The following is a 19,688-nucleotide window of genomic DNA, read 5'->3' as shown; positions in this document are numbered from 1 at the left end:
CAGCTACTTGGGAGGCTGAGGCAGGAGAATCACTTGAAACCAGGGAGGCAGAGGTTGTGGTGAGCTGAGATTGTGCCACTGCACTCCAGCCTGGGCAACAGAGCGAGACTCCATCTCAATAAAAAAAAAAAAAAAAAAAAATCGGTGTAGCTGACTTCTAATAAAACTTGATTGATTGATTGATTGATTGAGATGGAGTCTCACTCTTGTTGCCCAGGCTGGAGTGCAATGGTGTGGCACGATCTCAGCTCACCGCAGCTTCCACCTCCCGGGTTCAAACGATTCTCTGCCTCAGCCTCCTGAGTAGCTAGGATTACAGGCTTGCGCCACCATGCCCAGCTAATTTTGTATTTTTAGTAGAGACAGGGTTTCTCCATGTTGGTCAGGCTGGTCTTGAACTCCCGACCTCGGATGATCACCTGCCTCGGCCTCCCAAAGTGCTGGGATTACAGGCATGAGCCACTGCGCCTGGCTATAAAAGTTTATTTTCAAAAACAGGTGCAGTCTCTTGGCCCTAGTTGCTAGCTGCTGTTTCAGAGCCTGTGGAAATCTTACCTTCACTTTATGCCCCAAAGGATGCCATCGTTTTTATCTACTGGATGGGATCCCCAAGATTACTTAGATTGTTTTCAGAAGTAATAACAGATATCTGGGTATGGAGCATAGCATCTTAGTTTTAGTTTCTTTTTTGAGGGATGCTTTTTGGTGTTATGGTATACCACAGGTGCCTAGAGAAAATTCCGTTTTAGGTGCTGTCCTTTGAGGAAATACTGCTGATCTCAAATAACTGTGGGTAATTGAAATATCATACCTTTTAATGGTGACTACTAATCCCCTAAAAAGAATATAGACTTTTTCGCTCTAAACATGGTTTCAATAGGGTTTTTTTTTTTTTGATGGTCTCTTATGACTCTAGATTGAAACAAACAAGAAAATAACCCTACTTCTATAGTTACTATAACAGCTGAGGCAAGCTATACTACCAGTGGTGCATGGTAAAGCCTGCCTTTTAATAAGTTCTTAAATATAAAGAATGATAGAAAGTTTCAAGTTATGGTGTGTTATAGGTGCCTATGGAGTTATTAGGTTAGAGGAATGATTTTAATTTACTTGGATTCCTTAGCACATTGCTTATTGCATGCGTGCTCAGTAAAAGTGGATACTGGTGTTTGTGCTTTGCAGCTACCGCAGGTCTTGGTTGTCATGGCTTCTCATTAGTGCATTAAGATCCCTTTAGAGCTCTGGTTGCCTGGCAAGAGAAAAGGCAGGAACTGCCAGGAGCTGAAAGGACAGATGCTTAGCTGCAGAAGTAGCCTCTGGGGAGCGTTGGCTGCGTTGGCTGAGGTTCGTGTGCATGTGGTCAAATGTGTGAACTTGGGTTTTGCTAGACAAAACTCTGGGCTACATGGATTAATTAATATATGCTACAAGTGGTCTTTGTTTTAGAAGTCTTTGCAGTTTGAGCTATTTAAAACTTTTTTTAAATAAGCAAATTAGAAGATTCTGTTTGGGGTGCATTCCTGTCCTTTGGGGAAGTACTGCTGACCTTTAAGAATAGTGGGTAATTGGCCGGGCTCAGTGGCTCACACCTGTAATCCCAGCACTTTGAGAGGCCGAGGCTGGCGGATCACGAGGTTAAGAGATCAAGACCATCCTGGCCAACATGGTGAAACACCGTCTCTACCAAAAATACAAAAATCAGCTGGACGTGGTGGCGCGTGCCTGTAGTCCCAGTTACTTGGGAGGCGGAGGCAGGAGAATCGCTTGAACCCGGGAGGCAGAGGTTGCAGTAAGCTGAGATTGTGCCACTGCACAACAGCCTGGCGACAGAGCGAGACGCTGTCCAAAACAAACAAACAACAAAAAAATAAAAAACAGTGGGTAATTGAAATATTGTATGTTTTAATAATGACTACTAGCCAGATGCGGTGGCTCACATCTGTAATCCCAGCCCTTTAAGAGGCTGAGGCGGGCGGATCACCTGAGGTCGGCAGTTCAAGACCAGCCTGACCAACATGGAGAAATTCTGTCTCTATGAAAAATACAAAATTAGCTGCGCATGGTGGCGCATGCCTGTAATCCCAGCTACTCACGAGGCTGAGGCAGGAGAATCGCTTGAACCCTGGAGGCGGAGGTTGTAGTGAGCCGAGATCGCGCCACTGCACTCCAGCCTGGGCTACAGAGCGAGACTCCTTTCCCCCCACCCCGCGCCCTCCAAAAAAAAGACTACTAATCCACTGAAAAAAGGTCAGTTGGCTGGGCCCAGTGGCTCATGCTGTAATCCCAGCACTTTGGGAGCCAAAGGCGGGTGGATCACCTGAGGTCAGGAGTTTGAGACCAGCCTGGCCAACATGGTGAAAACCCGTCTCTACTAAGAGTACAAAAATGAGCTGGGTGTGGTGGTGCATGGCTGTGATCCCAGCTACTCTGGAGGCTGAGGTAGGGGAATTGCTTGAACTCAGGAGGTGGAGGTTGCAGTGAGCTGAGGTCGTGCCACTGCACTCCAGCCTAGGCAATAGAGGGAGACTTCTTCTCAATAAATAAATAAATAAACGTCAGTTTACAATATTAGAATACTGAAAGCTTGAGTAATTAGAAGAGTCTTATGATTAGAATTAATTATTTCAGGCTAAAAAATATTAGAAGGAGACTCTAGAGGGCAGTATAAGTCAACATGTTCATGCTTCTCCTGGCAATGGAAAGTTAAATTTTGCTTTGGAAAAATATACCAGGTGTTCTGAACTCTTTCCCCACCACACGGTGTCCCGGTTTGGTAGAAATGTGAGTTTTGGAAAGAAGTGCTCTGATTTGGCTTACAAAGATTAGCTAATGTATCAGAATTATATGGCCCTAGGGAATATCTCTGCTTGGTTTACAATACTGTCTTAGAAAAACTGGAATTGCCTGGCCGGGCGCGTTGGCTCACGCCTGTAACCCCAGCACTTTGGGAGGCCGAGGCGGGTGGATCACGAGGTCAGGAGTTCGAGACCAGCCTGACCAACATGGTGATGAAACCCCATCTCTACTAAAAATATAAAAATTAACCGAGCGTGGTGGCGTGTGCTTGTAATCCCAGCTACTCAGGAGGCTGAGGCAGAACTGCTTGAACTCGGGAGGTGGAGCTTGCAGTGAGCCGAAATTACGCTGCTGCACTCCAGCCTGGGCGATAGAGCAAGACTCCGTCTCAAAAAAAAAAAAAAAAAAAAAAAAAGAAAAGAAAAAAGGAAAACTGGAATTCCCTTATTGACTCAACTAAATTGAGTTGAGTTTGCTTTTCAGACATTTGTGGAGCATTAAGTGAAAGGAATATATCTTTATAGCTAATATGTCTTTTGTTTTCAAATCTTGTTGGGTAGGAAGTAAATGTACCCTCTATTCAAACAAATGGGAAGAGTTTGACTTATTTTGACTTTTTTTTTAAACAACTTTTTAAAACAAAGTTAAAATTAGATGCCTCATTTGTGAATGTCTGTGTTAATGTTGAACCTTTCAGAACGTTTGCATTAAGCAAAACCCAGAGCCTATTATGCCTATCACTTTTTCTTCTAATTTTTAACCTTCTATGCATTTTCAGGGAAATCTAATCCTTATGTTATTGACTCATCTTACATATAATTCATCAAATATGGTTTGGAAAGAACTGTTTTGAAGCCTAAGAAGCTCTAGTTTGTAGAGCTTCTTAGGGTCTTAGGCTTTACAAGGCAGAAAGTGGGGATTACCAAGGGCAAACTAATGAATCTCCTATAAATTTAGATTTAATATTTTAAACTATTAATTGCAATTTTTGTTTTTTGAGACAAAATTTCACTCTGTTGCTCAGGCTGGAGTGCAGTGGCACGATGTCGGCTTACTGCAACCTCTGCCTCCCGGGTTCAAGCAATTCTCCTGCCTCAGCCTCCTGAGTAGCTGGGACTACAGGCGCCCACCACCATGCCCGGATAATTTTTGTATTTTAAGTAGAAACGGGGCTTTACCATGTTGGTCAGGTTGGTCTCAAACTCCTGACCTCAAGAGATCCGCCCACCTTGGCCTCCCAAAGTGCTGGGATTACAGGCGTGAGCCACCGCATCCGGCCAAAATAGTTATTTTGACGTAGTTACAACTATTTTTCCTTTGGAAATAAATCAGGAGTTTTAGAAAATACTGAGTTTCCCACATCTTTCAGTAATGTTAAAACTAATGTGCACTAGTGAGACAGGAACGAGTATCATGTATTGCCTTTGATTATTGTTATTGAGTATTAGGTTTACTTCTGTCACCACTTGTGCATCTATGTTTTTTTCATTCTAATCACAGAGTAATGTAAAATAAGCATTCGTGTTTTCAAAATATACACTACTCATTAGAACTTTCACCTGAAATTGTGTGTTTTTAATTTATACAGAATTGGTGTGTAAACTAAAGGAGTTTTCTTAACGAAAAAAGTAGAAAGTTAATTAGAAAGTTTCTAGGAAAGAAGGTTGAGTTGTTTTTTTTTTTTTTTACAAAGTATCTAGAAATAAAAGGTAAATTTTTTTTTTCTTTTGTTTTGAGATGGAGTCTAGCTCTGTCGCCCAGGCTGGAGTGCAGTGGTGCAATCTCAGCTCACTGCAGTGTCCACCTCCCGGGTTCAAGGGATTCTCCTGCCTCAGCCTCCTGAGTAGCTGGGATTACAGGTGCTCGCCACCACACCCAGCTAATTTTTGTATTTTTAGTAGCGACGGGGTCGCTGGTCTTGAACTCCTGAGCTCGTGATCTGCCCACCTCAGCCTCCCGAAGTGCTGGGATTACAAGCGTGAGCCACCGCGCCCGGCCAGAAGGTAAAATTTTAAAGCAGCTGTGTAATATGTAGAGAAAGTAACTAAATCTTTGAGTTTACAAAGGATTTGGGATATTTGCTTAATTCTCAGACTTGAAATTAACTAACTTACTAAATGTTTTCTTTATTCTGGCAAGTGACAGAACATTGATATAGACAGTATTACTCACGTTTTGTTTTATTTGAATGTAAATCGGCAGAGTCTCTCTGTATCTTGAAATATACAGGAGAAATTTTCCTTAACCTAAGATTGAAATATTATTTAAATGTATAACCCATTTTTGCCAACCCCTGAGCCAGAAACCCAAAGAAGGATACATATAGAAGTGGTTTCTTATTGACAGCTTTAATTTATGCAAATATCCAGGGTTGTTTTGTTACTACCAAAAATAAAATAAATGTATTTCTTAATATGTTACATGATATAAATGACATCATTTTAAATAGTGACTTTCTAGGGATAGAATATCTTTGGTAAAGATAAAAGCTGGTTTTTGTCAGATGTTAAATGTAGAAAATTGAGAAGGGCTATGGAACAAAATCTTTGATTTACAAGTTGACAAAATGCTGGAACACACAGAGACTATATAGATTCATTTGATATAAGAGCTTCATTTAAGGGAAGGAATTCAAGGCTCTTTCAGCTTGTGATTTCTATTTTGGTGTATTCTGTCCCCACCTAATGATTTATACAATGTGATGATGGTAATTCAGAGCTAGAAAGTAGGTTGTTTCTGGTTTCAGTCCTTCTTTTTATCTGAAATACTGAAAGAGCCGAACTGTATTCTGTACAGGTAGTGGTTACTTTTCTTCTGCTTAGACTTAAAAACACAGCCTGTTTGTTAGCTTTTGTTGGCACCAAATAGTACTTGGACAGTATATATTTCACAGCGACATATTTTTTCTACCTAACATTAAGCACTTGCTTAATTTGAAGAACTGTTCTGTTGAGCCTGCCTAAGACAAAATTTCAGTGTACATAGCACAGTCTGAATTAATAGAACTCAAACTTACTAGGCCATGAAAATGGCTTAATCAACAGTGAACCCTTTAAAGACCTTGTCAGGTAGTGTTCTAATAGTGATTTTAGAAAAAAAAACAATGATTAGTGTTTAAAGATACTCTTTGTTTTAGAGTTTGTTTTCTTTTTTAAAGCCCTCTTGAGTAACTTCTGGGGTTGTGCCTATGTTCTGTTTAGAGGGAAAAAAATTGCATTTCTATACTTTATATTGAACCACAGCCATTCAGTCTAATTACTAATCTCTTCTTGGTAGAAGTCCTTTCAGACTGAATTGTTTATTCTTCCTTATCTCTAACCTGAGGGTATATTGTTGCTGAGTTGTTAGATTTTATTCTTCTTTGTTGTCATTCTGCAGTTTCGATTCCTACCTCCCCCTCCCATTTTGGTGATGGATGGCTGATCTGATGTTTGTGAGGCATTCAGGATTTGATAGCTGTGTTAAGAGAGACTCAGCATTCCTTTCTGGACACCTTCTCTTTTCTCTGTTGAAAGTTCTGAATCGTTTGTGCTGTCAGTAGTTTTTGATAGGTAGAGGGTCAAAGACAACTCTGTTGATTAATTGAATTTCCATGTCAAATAGCTTTTTATTTTGAGGTATAGAGCCTGAGTTTAAATGCAGGTTCTGAAACTAACTACATAGTCCTCTCTCAGTATTCGTGGGGGATTGGTTCCAGGACCATCGGTGGGTACCAAAATCCACACACATTCAAGTTCTTTAAATAACATGGTGTCGTATTTGCATGTAACCTATGCACATCCTCCAACATACTTTAGACCATATCCTCCCTTATACTTTACATCGTCTCCAGATTACTTATAGTATTCAGTGCAATGTAAAGGCCATGTAAATAGTTATTATACTGTATTGTTTATGGAATAAAGACTTAAAAAATTCTATACATGTTTAGTACAGAAGCAACCATCCTTTTTTTGTTCCTCCAAATATTTTCAGTCCGTGGTTGGTTGAAACCACAGATGTGGAACCCAGGGATATGAAGGCCAAGTCTGTGGCTTTATTGAACAGATGTTACTTAACACCTTTGTCTCTTGGTTTGCTCACTTATAAAAGAGGAGGTAATAATAGTGCCTATCCTGTAGGAATATTGTCATATATGTATAATACTTACAGCAGTACCTGGTGTACAGTTAGCACTCAATAAATATTAGTATCGCTGTCATTATAGTTTGGATGAAAAAGCTAATGGGAGTTTTAAGTAGAAAAGGGATGTTACCAGAATTGAGTTTCAGAAACATTGGTTTGATAGCCAAGGGGAAGGTAGATGGGTGCTAGGTTAGCAAAGGTTGAGGCAGGAAGACCTGTGCGTGGATTGAGTTGTGTTTCTGTCAGAAGACACAATTACAACAAATATCGTTTAAAGATTTCAGTTGGCTTTATTTGTGGTTCTAGAATTGGGCAATACCTTATGAAGTAGAATAAATGTAAGCATTCCAATGAGTGCAGTAGAGGAGGTTGGCTTCATAGACAGAAAAAGGGCTGAAGAAAGCAGAAACAAAGAACAAAAAGCACCAGTAGACTTCCCTGATGTAGGGTTGCCAAAGCCTTCAGTTTGCTAGGTGAGAAAAAGTAGTATCTGCAAAGCGCAGCAAAGCAAATGCAATGAAATGAGATATGCTGGTAGCTGACTGTTCAGCTCCGTGTTACTGCTGTCAAGACAGAGATAAGGGTTTATGTTATTAAGATGATTTAGTTTTGAGTTTTGAGGTTAGCTAGCACTGAGGGACCCATCTTACATATTTAAGCAGTCAGAAAGGAGAACATATTTTTGCCAGATAGTAATTAAAATTTCTAATAGAGGCCAGCAACCCTTCCAACAGAGAGAAAGCAGGTGTGAGACCAAGTCACCAAATCCCATTGGTCCTGGTCAGGTGCCTCACTTCTCACCAGAAGAGGTTTTAAGAATCTCTTGCCAGGCACGGTGGCTCACATCTGTAATCCCGGCATTTTGGGAGGCTGAGGCAGGCAGATCCCCTGAGGTCAGGAGTTTGAGAATGGCCTGGCCAACATGGTGAAACCCTCTCTCTATTAAAAATAGAAAAAAATTAGCTGGGTGTGGTAGTGGGCACCTTCAGTCTCAGCTACTCGGGAGGCTGAGGCAGGAGAACTGCTTGAACCTAGGAGACGGAGGTTACAGTGAGCCGAGGTTGGGCCACTGCACTCCAGCCTGGGCAACAGAGCGAGACTCCTTCTAAAAAAATAATAATAAAAAAGTCTTGAGTGGAAAAATACAAAAACTCTTTCGGTTCAACTCTTCCATTTCCTGAGATCTTGTGTTCAGGCCTGCAGGGAAGTCCCAGGCTGTCGTTCAGGGGCTTGGGGAAGCAGACCTCTGCAGTGCTCCCAGTTGTCTGAGGAATGCAGTGTTAACTGTCCAAGTTTTACCAGCCTAGGGCAGTGTCTTCAAGGTGGGCTCCTTCTAAGATGACCTATCGGGTACCTGAGAAATACTAAAACAACTTTTTTTTTTGAGATAGAGTCTCGCTCTGTCACCCAGGCTGGTGTGTGGTGGTGATCTCGGCTCACTGCAACCTCCGCCTCCTGGGTTCAAGCAGTTCTCTTGCCTCAGCCTCCTGAGTAACTGGGATTGCAGGTGTGCATCACCATGTCTGGCTAATTTTTGTAATTTTAGTAGAGACGGGGTTGCACCGTGTTGGTCAGGCTGGTCTCAAACTCCTGACCTCAAGTAATCCGCCCTCTTCAGCCTCCCAAAGTGTTGGGATTACAGGCGTGAGCCACTGTGCCCGGCTAGATTTTTAATTTTAATGGAGCCTGGATGTTTCATGTACAAGTAACGTATTTTGGGATGTGTGCTTCTTGTCTACTCTTGGGGTTATACAATTATAAGAACTCCCCTACAGTGGCCTATGAGGCCTACCCTGACCTTGGACTCGACTCGTCCGTTGCCGGCACCCTCCACCCTCAGTTGTGTTCTAGTCCTGCCGGCTCGCTTGCTCTCTCTTGCTCGTTCTTGTTCTCTCTCTCTCTCTTGCTCTCTCTCTGACTCTGTCTGTCTGTCTCTCTTCTCTCTCCAGCTGGTACCTACCCTCTGCATATGTTTAATCCTTCTTGCTCTACTTTTTTTTCTTAGCACTTACTGCCTTTGAATATTGTGTGAAATTTATAGAATACAAAAAAATCTGTTGGTTATTGTTTGTTTCTCCCTGCAGAATGTAAACCCCTTGAGGTCAGGAGTGTCTTTCTACTTTGTTCATAGATGTATTCTAAGTGCTTGTGCTGTTTTTTTTTTTTTTGAGATGGAGTCTTGCTGCCGCCAGGCTGGAGTGCTGTGGCGCGATCTCGGCTCATTGCAACCTCTGCCTCCTGGGTTCAAGCGATTCTCCTGCCTCAGCCTCCTGAGTAGCTGGCACTACAGGCGTGCACCACCATGCCCAGCTAAATTTTTTTTTTTTTGTATTTTTAGTAGAGGCAGGGTTTCACCATGTTGGCCAGGATGGTCTCGATCTCTTGAAATCATGATTTGCCCGCCTCAGCCGCCCCAAAGCATCTGGCACATATTAGGGCTTGTAAGTTCCATTAATGAGTGAGTAAATTATTCAGGAAGATTTGGGAATACAAAAATGAATCAAACGTGCTCCATGCCCTGAGTTGCTTCATATAGCAGCAAAGACCAATTTATATGAAAATAATTTTAAGTCTGTGAGAAACGCAGCAGTAGAATTATATGGAGGGTAGAGAGGTGACAGTAATAAGGAGGTGATTAATTCTCTGGGGGTGGTGGTAGACACATAAGCATTTAAATAATGTAAATGTTTTGAAAATGTGACAGTTTTTAACCCATTAACTGTTGTGGTAGGCTTACTTTCGCTTGTCCAGAGAAAATGGAAATGAAGATTATTTGAATACAGTGTGCTTGTGACTCTGTAGAAACTTGTCTTTGATAGACATCTATGTAAGCTGAATTAAGCAGAGGGCAAATCTCTGTCATTTGTTCCTCTATGTTTATGTTGTATAATTTGGTGTCATTTCAATCATTTCATGATTCCTGTTTTAGTAAATTTATAGTAGGGTGCCTGTTGGTAGTATATCAATGTTCCTCACCCCCTCCTTTGTTTCTAATACACCCTGGATCCTTTTGGATATTTAATAATTACCTTAAGGATGCTAATTTGGGACAAAATGAGTCATTTAGGGGTGGATTACTTTATTTCATCAAAATCATTGAACAGAGTGCTTGGACAATAATGTTTTGACATTGCCCAGCTGCTGTGTGGCTCCACTGTGCTCTCCCTAGTGGTGACTGATGAAGGGGAGAGAGGAGGCAGGAAAGGGGCTTGCTCCTGAGACAGGCACTACCTTTTGTGATGGATGCTCTGCTTGCAGAACCCAGCTGAGCATCTGTCCGGACACACTCCTTCCCAGTTCACATAAATAATGTAGCAGTGATAGTAACAAGGATGAAAAGCAAAATGCTGATTTTGCTGCCCCCTGCCTGTTTCTTTTTTTTAGTGGGGTGATGTACTTCACAGACAAATAATGAATTACCACCCTCACTGTTGGGGTGATTTAGGCCCTCCTTTAATTGTTTTAATCAGGTTTTTACAATAAGTCGATGACAGAGTCCAAGATGACACGGTTAATGGTGTCTGGCATTCACTGAGCATTTCCTGTGTGCTGTGCACTCCATCCAAGGCCTTGCTTGAATTATTTCATTTCATCTCCATGATAACCTTGTGCAGTGGGTACTGTTATTAACCACATTGTATAGATGGGCATATGGAGACTTTCCCAAGGTTATGCAGTTAGAAAATCTTAGATTAGGAGAACCCTGGCCATCTGACTCCAGAGCTAGAGACCTTTACCACTAGGCTAAATTTGCTGAAGACTGGGAAGCTCAGTCAGAACTAAGGATGAAATGTTGCTGCCTGCTCTTAGAGTACCAGATGAAGAGAGTCACCTACCATTTAAAATCACCCAGCAAAATAGGTAGGACTAAACTTCACTATTGATGAAATTAAACCACAGCTTTATTCTCAGAACTAAACAAAAAAATTCAGCTGTTCAGTGCATTGAGGTTGGTGATCCATTGGCTTGCACCATTTCTCTTTTCTCATGAAATAGAAGGCATTTCTGCCTTTGCTGTGTAATTTGCTTGATTTTCTTCATTTTGCCGCTCTTTGGTGTAGAAACGGGCACCCTGCTTCAGCTGGTGGGGACTAAAAACTAATAGGAGGAAAGGCAAAATTCTTATCTGACCCTGTTTTTTAAAGAAATCTTGTCAAGTTCTAGAAATCTAACGGCTTTAGAATTTATGATTTTAGGAACTTATATGAAAGTCCTAATGTTTTCTAAGGTAAATTGACTGCTTACTTTCTTTCATACATTGTGCTTGCTCTTGTTCTTACTCTCACATTCTGCTTTAGTAAAGAAATGGAGGACATAACAGGGATACTATTGGTAAAACAGATGTTTCTGACTTGAAATTGCATGCACTTATGGTCTTGTGTGTTAACCACTCTTAACAACTGTGTTTACTATTGAAACTGGAAATACAGACTTTGATTATAGTTTTTCCAGCTTGCCTGGTACTATTCTCCTGTAACTGGATTATTTTTAGTTGAAATTTTTGCTCCAAGCCCTTTCCCCCTACTTAGTTGACTCTTCAATCACCACTTGGAGTGCACATGTCAGCATTCCCATGGACATTAAATACACACAGTATAGACAGCACAATGGCATCTTCTATGTGAATTATTGGACTCTTTTGATCACTTTTAATGCTGAAAATGGGATCTATCCTGGTTACCTTCCAGTCCTCTGATGAAATTTAGGGAATGTATGTCTATCTCCTTTCGAAGTTTATCCTGATAGCTATTGGTGGTCATTGTAAAATTATCTGTCTGAAACTTAACAGATTGCAAATGAAATAGGAATCTTAGTATTTATTTTGCTACTGCCTAATGATGCCTCTGTTTGAGTCATTGAATACTTTCAAAGCATAACCTTTAAGGTATGTTTCTACATCTTAATTTGCCACTTGGTGCATTTAGTTCTAACAAACCAGAACTAAAGCAAATTTTGTTTCATGAGAAACTGCTTGCCAAGCTTTAATTTAGGTCTTCTTAGAGGATTATTAATGAACTCGTGAAGTGTACATAAGCACTTTTTATTGACAAAACAATGGCATTAAAATTCAGTATTCTCAATCGATGACAAGGCGTTATTGTGTTTGAGAAATACTGAAAACTACCACTGTTGACCTAATGATTAACTTGCAATTTAGAACATGCTTGATTTTCCTTTCCCTTATCCATCTTATTCTTACTCTCTTTTTCAAAAACCATTAGCTGACTATGGAACATAATTGTGAATAAACAAATGGGTAAAATGCTAAAAATGATTTTAAAAATTCATTAAGTTTTTTGAAGCTGGATGATCTATTTGTACTTTCACCTACTGCTTCTTTTAAAAGCTGTTACTTTAGTTAGTGATGTATTTCTCATTTATACATACTAAAATTATAGTGATTGAGTTGTTATATCATTTATTTTTTAAAATTGTGATTGTGTCTTTTTCCTTTCTTTTTGGTATAAGATTATTATTATCGAGGGGCCAAATTTCAGGAGTCTTACTAGCAGGTTGCAAAATGTAGTACAGCCTGCCCTCTGAAGAAAAATAAATTTCAGTCCGATGCCTACGTCTTAAAAAGATTGATTGCTTCTTTGGCTAGGTTTTTTTTTATTCCTTTTCTTTTTTTCCATTCTGAAATTTTATTACTTTCTTCACCAGGTGATCAAAGCACATGGGTTAGTGAATTTTTTTTAAAAAAAGGTAGCAAAGATCTTCTGGGAACATTTGTGTTAATTTTTAATTTCATATGATTTTTTTTTCTAGGTAATATATGTGCACGTACTTAATCAAGTGGTGGTGTACTGTTTATTTTTTTTTGTTTGTTTATTTTAGTAGTTCCTCCCATCCTTGAGTTTCACTTCTCAGAGGCAAACTGTTTGAACTTTTAAAACCATTTATTTTGTCACTTATCTCAATATTGCTAAAGGACATGCTTATGTTTTATGTTTTATTTTTATTTTTTGAGACAGAGTCTTGCTCTGTTGCCCAGGCTGGAGTGCAGTGGTGCAGTCTTGGGTCACTGCAGCCTTGACCTCCCAGGCTCAAGTGATCCTTCAGGCTCTCAAATAGCTGGGACCACAGGTGTGTGCCCTAACACTTGGCTAATTTTTTAATTTTTTTTTTTTTTTTTTTGTAGAGATGAGATCTTGCAGTGTTGCCTAGGCCGGACTTGAACTCCTGAGCTCAAGTGATCCTGCCACCTTGGCCTCTCAAAGTGTTAGAATTATAGGCATGAGCCACCATGCCTGGCTTCTTTATCTTTTCTTTTTGTCTTTTTTTTTTCCCTCGAGATGGGGCCTTACTTTGTTGCCCAGGAAGGAGTGCAGTGGCTTGATCACTGTTCACTGCAGCTTCGCCCTCCATGGCTGAAGGGATCCTCCCGCCTCAGTCTCCCAAGTAGCTGAGACCACAGGTGTGAGCCACTGTGCCTGACCTGTTTTTATTTTCTATTTTAGACATCACTTGCTGAGTTTACCCAATGAGTAATTTAAATTTAGCCATTTAAATCTCTTCCCCGCCCGTCCCGCCCCAGACAGGGTCTTGCTCTGTCATCCAGGCTGGAATCCAGTGGCATGATCATGGCTCACTGCAACTTCTACTTTCTGGGCTCAACAATCCTCCTGCCTTAGTCTCCTGAGTAGCTGGGATTATAGGCACGCACCACTACACCTGGCTAATTTTTGTATTTTTTGTAGAGACAAGGTTTTGTCATGTTTTCCAGACTGGTCCTGAACTCTTGAGCTCAAGCAATCTGCCTGCTGTGGCCTCCCAAAGTGCTAGGATTACAGATGTGAGCCTCCTTGCCAGCCCGTCACCTTTTATATATCTTCTACTTTCTCCTCTTCCTCTTCCTTCTCATTGTGGTAATATCACCATTTGTGGTTAAATCAGTATTGAATGTTTATATTATTATTATTATTAAGACGGAGTTTCGCTCTTGTTGCCCAGGCTGGAATGCAATGGTGCAATCTCGGCTTACCAAAACCTCCGCCTCCTGGGTTCAAGCGATTCTCCTGCCTCAGCCTCCCCAGTAGCACGGATTACAGGCGCCTGCCACCACGCCTGGCTAATTTTGTGTTTTTAGTAGAGACGGGGTTTCACCATGTTGGTCAGGCTGGTCTCGAACTCCTGACCTCAGGTGATCTGCCCGCCTCGGCCTCCCAAAGTGCTGGGATTACAGGTGTGAGCCACCGCACCCAGCCGAATGTTTATATTATTATAGGCATGTATATATTGTTATAGCTTAAAACAAATATTGTGGGCTGGGCGTGGTGGCTCACGACTGTAATCCCGGCACTTTGGGAGGCCAGGACGGGCAGATCATAAGGTCAAGAGATTGAGAGCATCCTGGCGAACATGGTGAAACCCCATCCCTACTAAAAATACAAAAATTAGCCAGGCGTGGTAGCGCACGCCTGTAGTCCCAGCTATTCGGGAGGCTGAGGCAGGAGAATCACTTGAACCCAGGAGGCGGAGGTTGCAGTGAGCCAGGATCGCTCCACTGCATTCCGGCTTGGCGACAGAGTGAGACTCCGTCTTAAAAAAAAAAATTGTGGTATGATTGAATTACATTTCTTGTACAACTTCTTTCCTGGAATTAATAATTGTCTCTCTTTTGATTCTTTGTTTTGTTTTGTATGCCCCGTCTCTAAATCACCCTTAAATTTTCCAACAGAACTATTGGAAAATCAGTGTAATGGAAAATATTAATCTATAGATCAGCCTTGGTGCTATCCTCCTGGAACCCATTGCCTCATTTTGGTGTCTAGATCTGCCACTGAGTTGTTGGAAGAAGACTTCCCTTTCATATGACTCTCAGATCATTTTTCATGGCTTCTTGGTTGGGGTTCCCTCTGTTGTTTGTGAAGTATTTTCCTGAGAAGGGTACATGGGAAGTAAATGTTTTGAGGCTGTGTGTGTCTGAAAATGTCTTTATTTTATGCTCATCCTTGATTATCTCACAGTTTGGCCGGGTATAGAACTGTAGGTTGGAGACTATTTTCCTCAAAAATTTGAAGGCGTTACTCTATTGTCTTCCAATTTTCAGGAAAGACGCCAGAGCATAATACAGAATACACTCAACTGAAAGCCAGTATGGGCCTTTTAGGATGAGTTGTTACTTGAATGATGCCCCTTGGAAAGATAAAGTTATTAGAGTGATGTCTTCTGAACCATAAGGGAAAAGATAAAGTTGAGAGAATTTCATTTTACTCCCATCTGTTAAATGGCAGTAGTTCAATCCTCTCTAGAGATATTGTAGAAATAAATATTTAAAAATTTAAAGATAGCTATAACTATCAAATAGAAAATTACTTCTTGGGGTGAATGGCAAACTTTGTGGTATTAGCCATTTATGTTTGTATTTTAAAGCACTTTATCATGATAGGATTTTTCCAATCACTACCCTTTAAAAGCCAAATGAATTTTAAATTCATGTGCTATGTGTATTTTAATATTAATATTTGGATATTTTTGGCTTAAAGTTTTCATAATATAACGTTTAATTCCATTTAAAATGGAGTCCACCATGAAAAAGCCTCATTTTGATTGCCTGTGTAAGCTAAGTATAAAGAATGGAATCAGAAAATTGTAATTTTTGAAATAAAATACCTTTAATGTTAGGTATGTTAAGACTGTTTAGCACTGTAGTTGAAGTTTGCAATTACTATTATTATTATTATCATCATCATTATTTTTGAGATGGAGTTTTGCTCTTGTTGCCCAGGCTGGAGTGCAGTGGTACAATCTCGGCTCCCTACAGGCTCTGCCTCCCGGGTTCAAGTGGTTCTTCTGCCTCAGCCTCCCAAGTAGCTGGGACTACAGGTGCCTGCCATCACGCCCAGCTAATTTTTGTATTTTTAGTAGAGATGGGGTTTCACCGTGTTGGCGAGGCTGGTCTTGAACTCCTGACCTCAGGTGATCCGCCCACCTCAGCCTCCCAAAGTGCTAGGATTATAGATGTGAGCCACTGTGCCTGGCCAAAGTTTTTAATTAAAAAAAATTTTTTTCTTAAAAGCAGAGACCAACCATTTTGTTAGGGATAAAACATTTTTAAAGTTAATCTGCCTTTTTTGCAAGAATTTGCATTCAAGCAAGAGTGTCATTTTTACATTTGATTTTAATAATTAATATTAGTATAATGATTAAAATAGAGGTAATCAATAGAAAACTTGTATCAAATGGCAAGCACCAATTCTTAACCCACTGCTAATTGTTTCTAGGAGGTTGTCTTAGCATTGGTTACTATGGTTTTTCCTTAGCCTTTATAAATTACCACAAAAGACAAACTGTTCCTCCTCCAGTTACTAAATTAGTTCCTATTTAATGTTGAAAGGTATCTTGTAAGATTTATGATTCAGATTTTATAACAAGTCTTATTTTAGGATAATGTGCTTTTCTAGTTATATGAGTACCTTTTTGGCCTTTTCCCTAGGGACATTAATCCTTGGCTGGGAAGAATAAACTATAGTCCTCCATAGCAGCTGACTGCAAACTGCAACCATGACGCCTTAGGCTGTTAAAACAAACATTTCTCAACCTTATAGCACAGACTTCCTGTTTTTAAAGCTTTTCTGACCTTCCTGAGAAAAAGACCAATATAGCTGTGGTTACATCCTGTGTTTTTTTTTTATTTTGTTTTTCATTAAAAAAAAAAATCCATTGAATTTTTCTAAAGCCCTTGAGTATAAAAGTGATTAATGCACCAAAAAATGTAAATAGCACAGGGCTCATGTCTGATCTTTGCTAGGCCTTCAATAAAAGATAATAGAACCAGGTCGGCTTTTAATGCGTCTCTGTTTGTTCAATGTCTGCTACAATTGGAATGTCAGGAAAATCTCACATTAAAGGACCTGCCCTATTCTGGAGAGATTGTGAAGGAAGCATTTGGCAGTCATTTCCTTTCACTTAAGAGAATGAACATGCTTTACATTATAATCGTTTAAACATACCAGAGTCAGCTGATAGGGCTCTCGTATTCTTCACTGTAGAGTCAGCTTGCTCTGAAGATTGGAGGGGATGATCAGTGTTTAGATTTTATTGTTGGAATTAATCAGATGATGTAAACGTTAGAAGTTAGCCCATGCCTTCCTTTGTACTCACTCAGTTGTTGTTTCCTGCAGCCCAAGTATTTGCTCTTTTAGTTAAAATTAAACTCCAGAATGTATGTTCAGCATTTGTCTTTATGACAGTCTCACTCACTTCTAATCCCTTCAGAAGAAAACACAAGAAACCACCCTGTGTTGTGCAGATCAAACATTCTCGAATCTGTGGCTTTTGATTTTTGTTTTAGCCAATGTATTATATAATGTTTGAGTGTATATTTTTAACTGGAGTCTTCTGGCATTTTCTAGAGAGCAGTTATTGGCTTTTAGGCAGGCAGTTCCTGGATCTGTAATGCTACCTCTGATGCTGAGACTGGCAAATGGTACTCATTTAATTTTTTGAAACATTTAAATGTATGTATTTTTTTCTGAAATACACGTGTGTAATTTTATTTTAAAGTATTTTCATTTATTGGCGGCATAATACTAGAGAAAACATGTCCTAATAATAATAAAGGGCAAAATTATATTTTGAATTTGTGTACATTATTTTAATAAGTCATACAATTATCTGTCTGGTTAATATTTTGAATTCTTAGGATATTGATTTCAGTTGTGGTTTTGAGTTATCCTTAAGATTACTTCCAGTACATTTGGCTGGATCTCCACACTGATTTTATCATATATCATCAGTTCAAAATACACGAGGGGCCTCATTTTAAACATCCCATTGAGGCCCTGCATCCCTGAGCTCTTTCTTCCACAAAACTGTTTGTTTTTAAATCTGTAAAACCCTTTTCCAAACGAGAAATTTCTCTTCTTAACCCTGCTTTGGCTTTTCAACGTATCGCTCTATTGGAATTTAATAATTTGATCTGCACAGTCTGAGATCTCTAGTGAGTTTTGAAATAAAAATGAAAATGTCCTTAAACATATTTAAAGCATGTGCTATCTAAGAGGTCTTGCTCTCTGTCTGAAGTTGGTTTAGGGCTACATCCATGAGACGGCTGCACACTTCCAAAAACTAAAACCTCCAGGCCTGACCTTCGATTGATGACTAATGTCATAACAGTTTGCTGTGATGCCCCCGGGAGCCTAGTGGAAAGTTGTATTTTTTGTTTTCTGGAGTATATTTTTATAATGCTGATAATGTATTTCATGATATAATACTTTAAATACTTATTAGCAGTTTATCACTCCCTTTTTTTTTTTTTTTTTTTTTTTTTTTTTTGGAGACAGAGTCACACTCTGTCACCCAGGCTGGAGTGCAGTGGCTCGATCTGGGCTCACAGCAGCCTCCGCCTCCCAGGTTCAAGTGATTCTCCTGCCTCAGCCTCCCGAGTAGCTGGGATTATAGGCATGCGCCACCATGCCCAGCTAATTTTTGTAATTTTAATGGAGATGGGGTGTTGCCATGTTGGTCAGGCTGGTTTTGAACTCCTGGCCTTAAGTGATCCACCCGCCTTGGCCTCCCAAAGTGCTGGGATTACAGCACTTTGCTACTGTAATCCCAGTAGTTTACAGGTGTAAGCTACTCCGCCTGGCCTATCACTCTTAAATATGTTTGGGACTATGGCCAGGCACGGTGGCTCACGCCTGTAATCCCAGCACTTTGGGAGGCTGAGGCAGGCGGATCAAGAGGTCAGGAGATTGAGACCGTCCTGGCTAACACGGTGAAACCCCGTCTCTACTAAAAATACAAAAAATTAGCCGGGCGTGGTGGGCACCTGTAGTCCCAGCTACTAGGGAGGCTGAGGCAGGAGAATGGCATCAACCTGGGAGGCGGAGCTTGCAATGAGCCGAGATCATGCTACTGCACATCAGCCTGGGTGACACAGCGAGACTCCGTCTCAAAAAACAAACAAACAAACAAATATCTATGTTTGGGACTATGTTGGAAAGTAAAACATGAAGGAAGGTTGTAACTAATGCCCAACCTTAATGTTGTACCTATGTTATTTCACTTTAAAGTGTGCTATTCAGAGTTTTACTAAAGGCCAGTCTGTCTTGGGCTTTTTGTTTTCTTTTTATAATCTGATGTTATTTCTAGTTATTTTTCAAGAGTATATTACGTAGACTGCAACAGTATATTCAAGAGTATATTACGTAGATTGCAACAGTCCCCCCAGGACTTAGGGGGAAGAACATTTTGATTTGGTTTGGGATTGAGAGTGTCTGTGGAATGCCATTATGGTGGAACCCATAGGGCATTTGCATATGTGGGCCTCTTGCTAAGAAGCAAGCTCAGCTGGAAAAATCAAATTTTGGAATCACAAACACAGAAACAGCTTGAGAGTGGATCTTTTCACTGATGTGAGATGGCCGAATGTGATAAAAGGAGGCTTGACAGGGACTACTTGTATTTAGGAGGAGTCATGGAAAGAAAGAGAGAATCGCCAGAAAGGTAGGAGATCCAAGAGAGTGCCTAATCCAAAACCAAACCAACAAAAACCAGAATAAGAGTATGGGAACAGGACCAGGACCCACTGCTGGTAAGAGTATAAGTTGTACAGCTTTTGGATGGCTGTTTGACTCTCTCTGAAAGAGTGTATATTCATTGAACTAGGGATTCCTTCAGTGTAGAAATACATGTATGCACAAAGAAGTTTGTTGTAGCACTGTTTATAAGAGTAAAAAATGTGAAAAAGACTCAATAAGGGGCTTGTTATATAATAATTATGGGACTCCCACACTGTTCAGTTCTTTGCAGTAATAAAC

General features: G+C 40.3%; 1 protein-coding gene across 2 annotated transcripts in view, besides 2 other annotated features; it reads left to right on the top strand.

Moving 5' to 3' along the window:
- The window catches only part of RERE (arginine-glutamic acid dipeptide repeats), a 465,237-nt gene that overhangs the window by 88,282 nt on the left and 357,267 nt on the right, over positions 1 to 19,688 (top strand). The gene's annotated exons all lie outside the window — the stretch shown is intronic.
- Positions 8,020 to 8,260: a silencer, noted in NCBI's record as "fragment chr1:8781158-8781398 (GRCh37/hg19 assembly coordinates)". NCBI's record gives its function as "represses an EF-1alpha promoter that drives an FKBP-Casp9 reporter gene in an ReSE screen in K562 erythroleukemia cells {active_cell/tissue: K562}" and the evidence as "EXISTENCE:reporter gene assay evidence [ECO:0000049][PMID:32094911]".
- Positions 18,536 to 19,036: an enhancer, noted in NCBI's record as "H3K4me1 hESC enhancer chr1:8770382-8770882 (GRCh37/hg19 assembly coordinates)". NCBI's record gives its function as "activates a minimal SCP1, AML or CMV promoter by ChIP-STARR-seq in naive H9 embryonic stem cells {active_cell/tissue: H9 hESC(naive)}" and the evidence as "EXISTENCE:reporter gene assay evidence [ECO:0000049][PMID:30033119]".

This window comes from Homo sapiens, chromosome 1, assembly GCF_000001405.40.
Source record: "Homo sapiens chromosome 1, GRCh38.p14 Primary Assembly".
Classification (NCBI taxonomy): Eukaryota; Metazoa; Chordata; class Mammalia; order Primates; family Hominidae; genus Homo; species Homo sapiens.
This window is presented reverse-complemented; position numbering and strand designations above follow the sequence as displayed.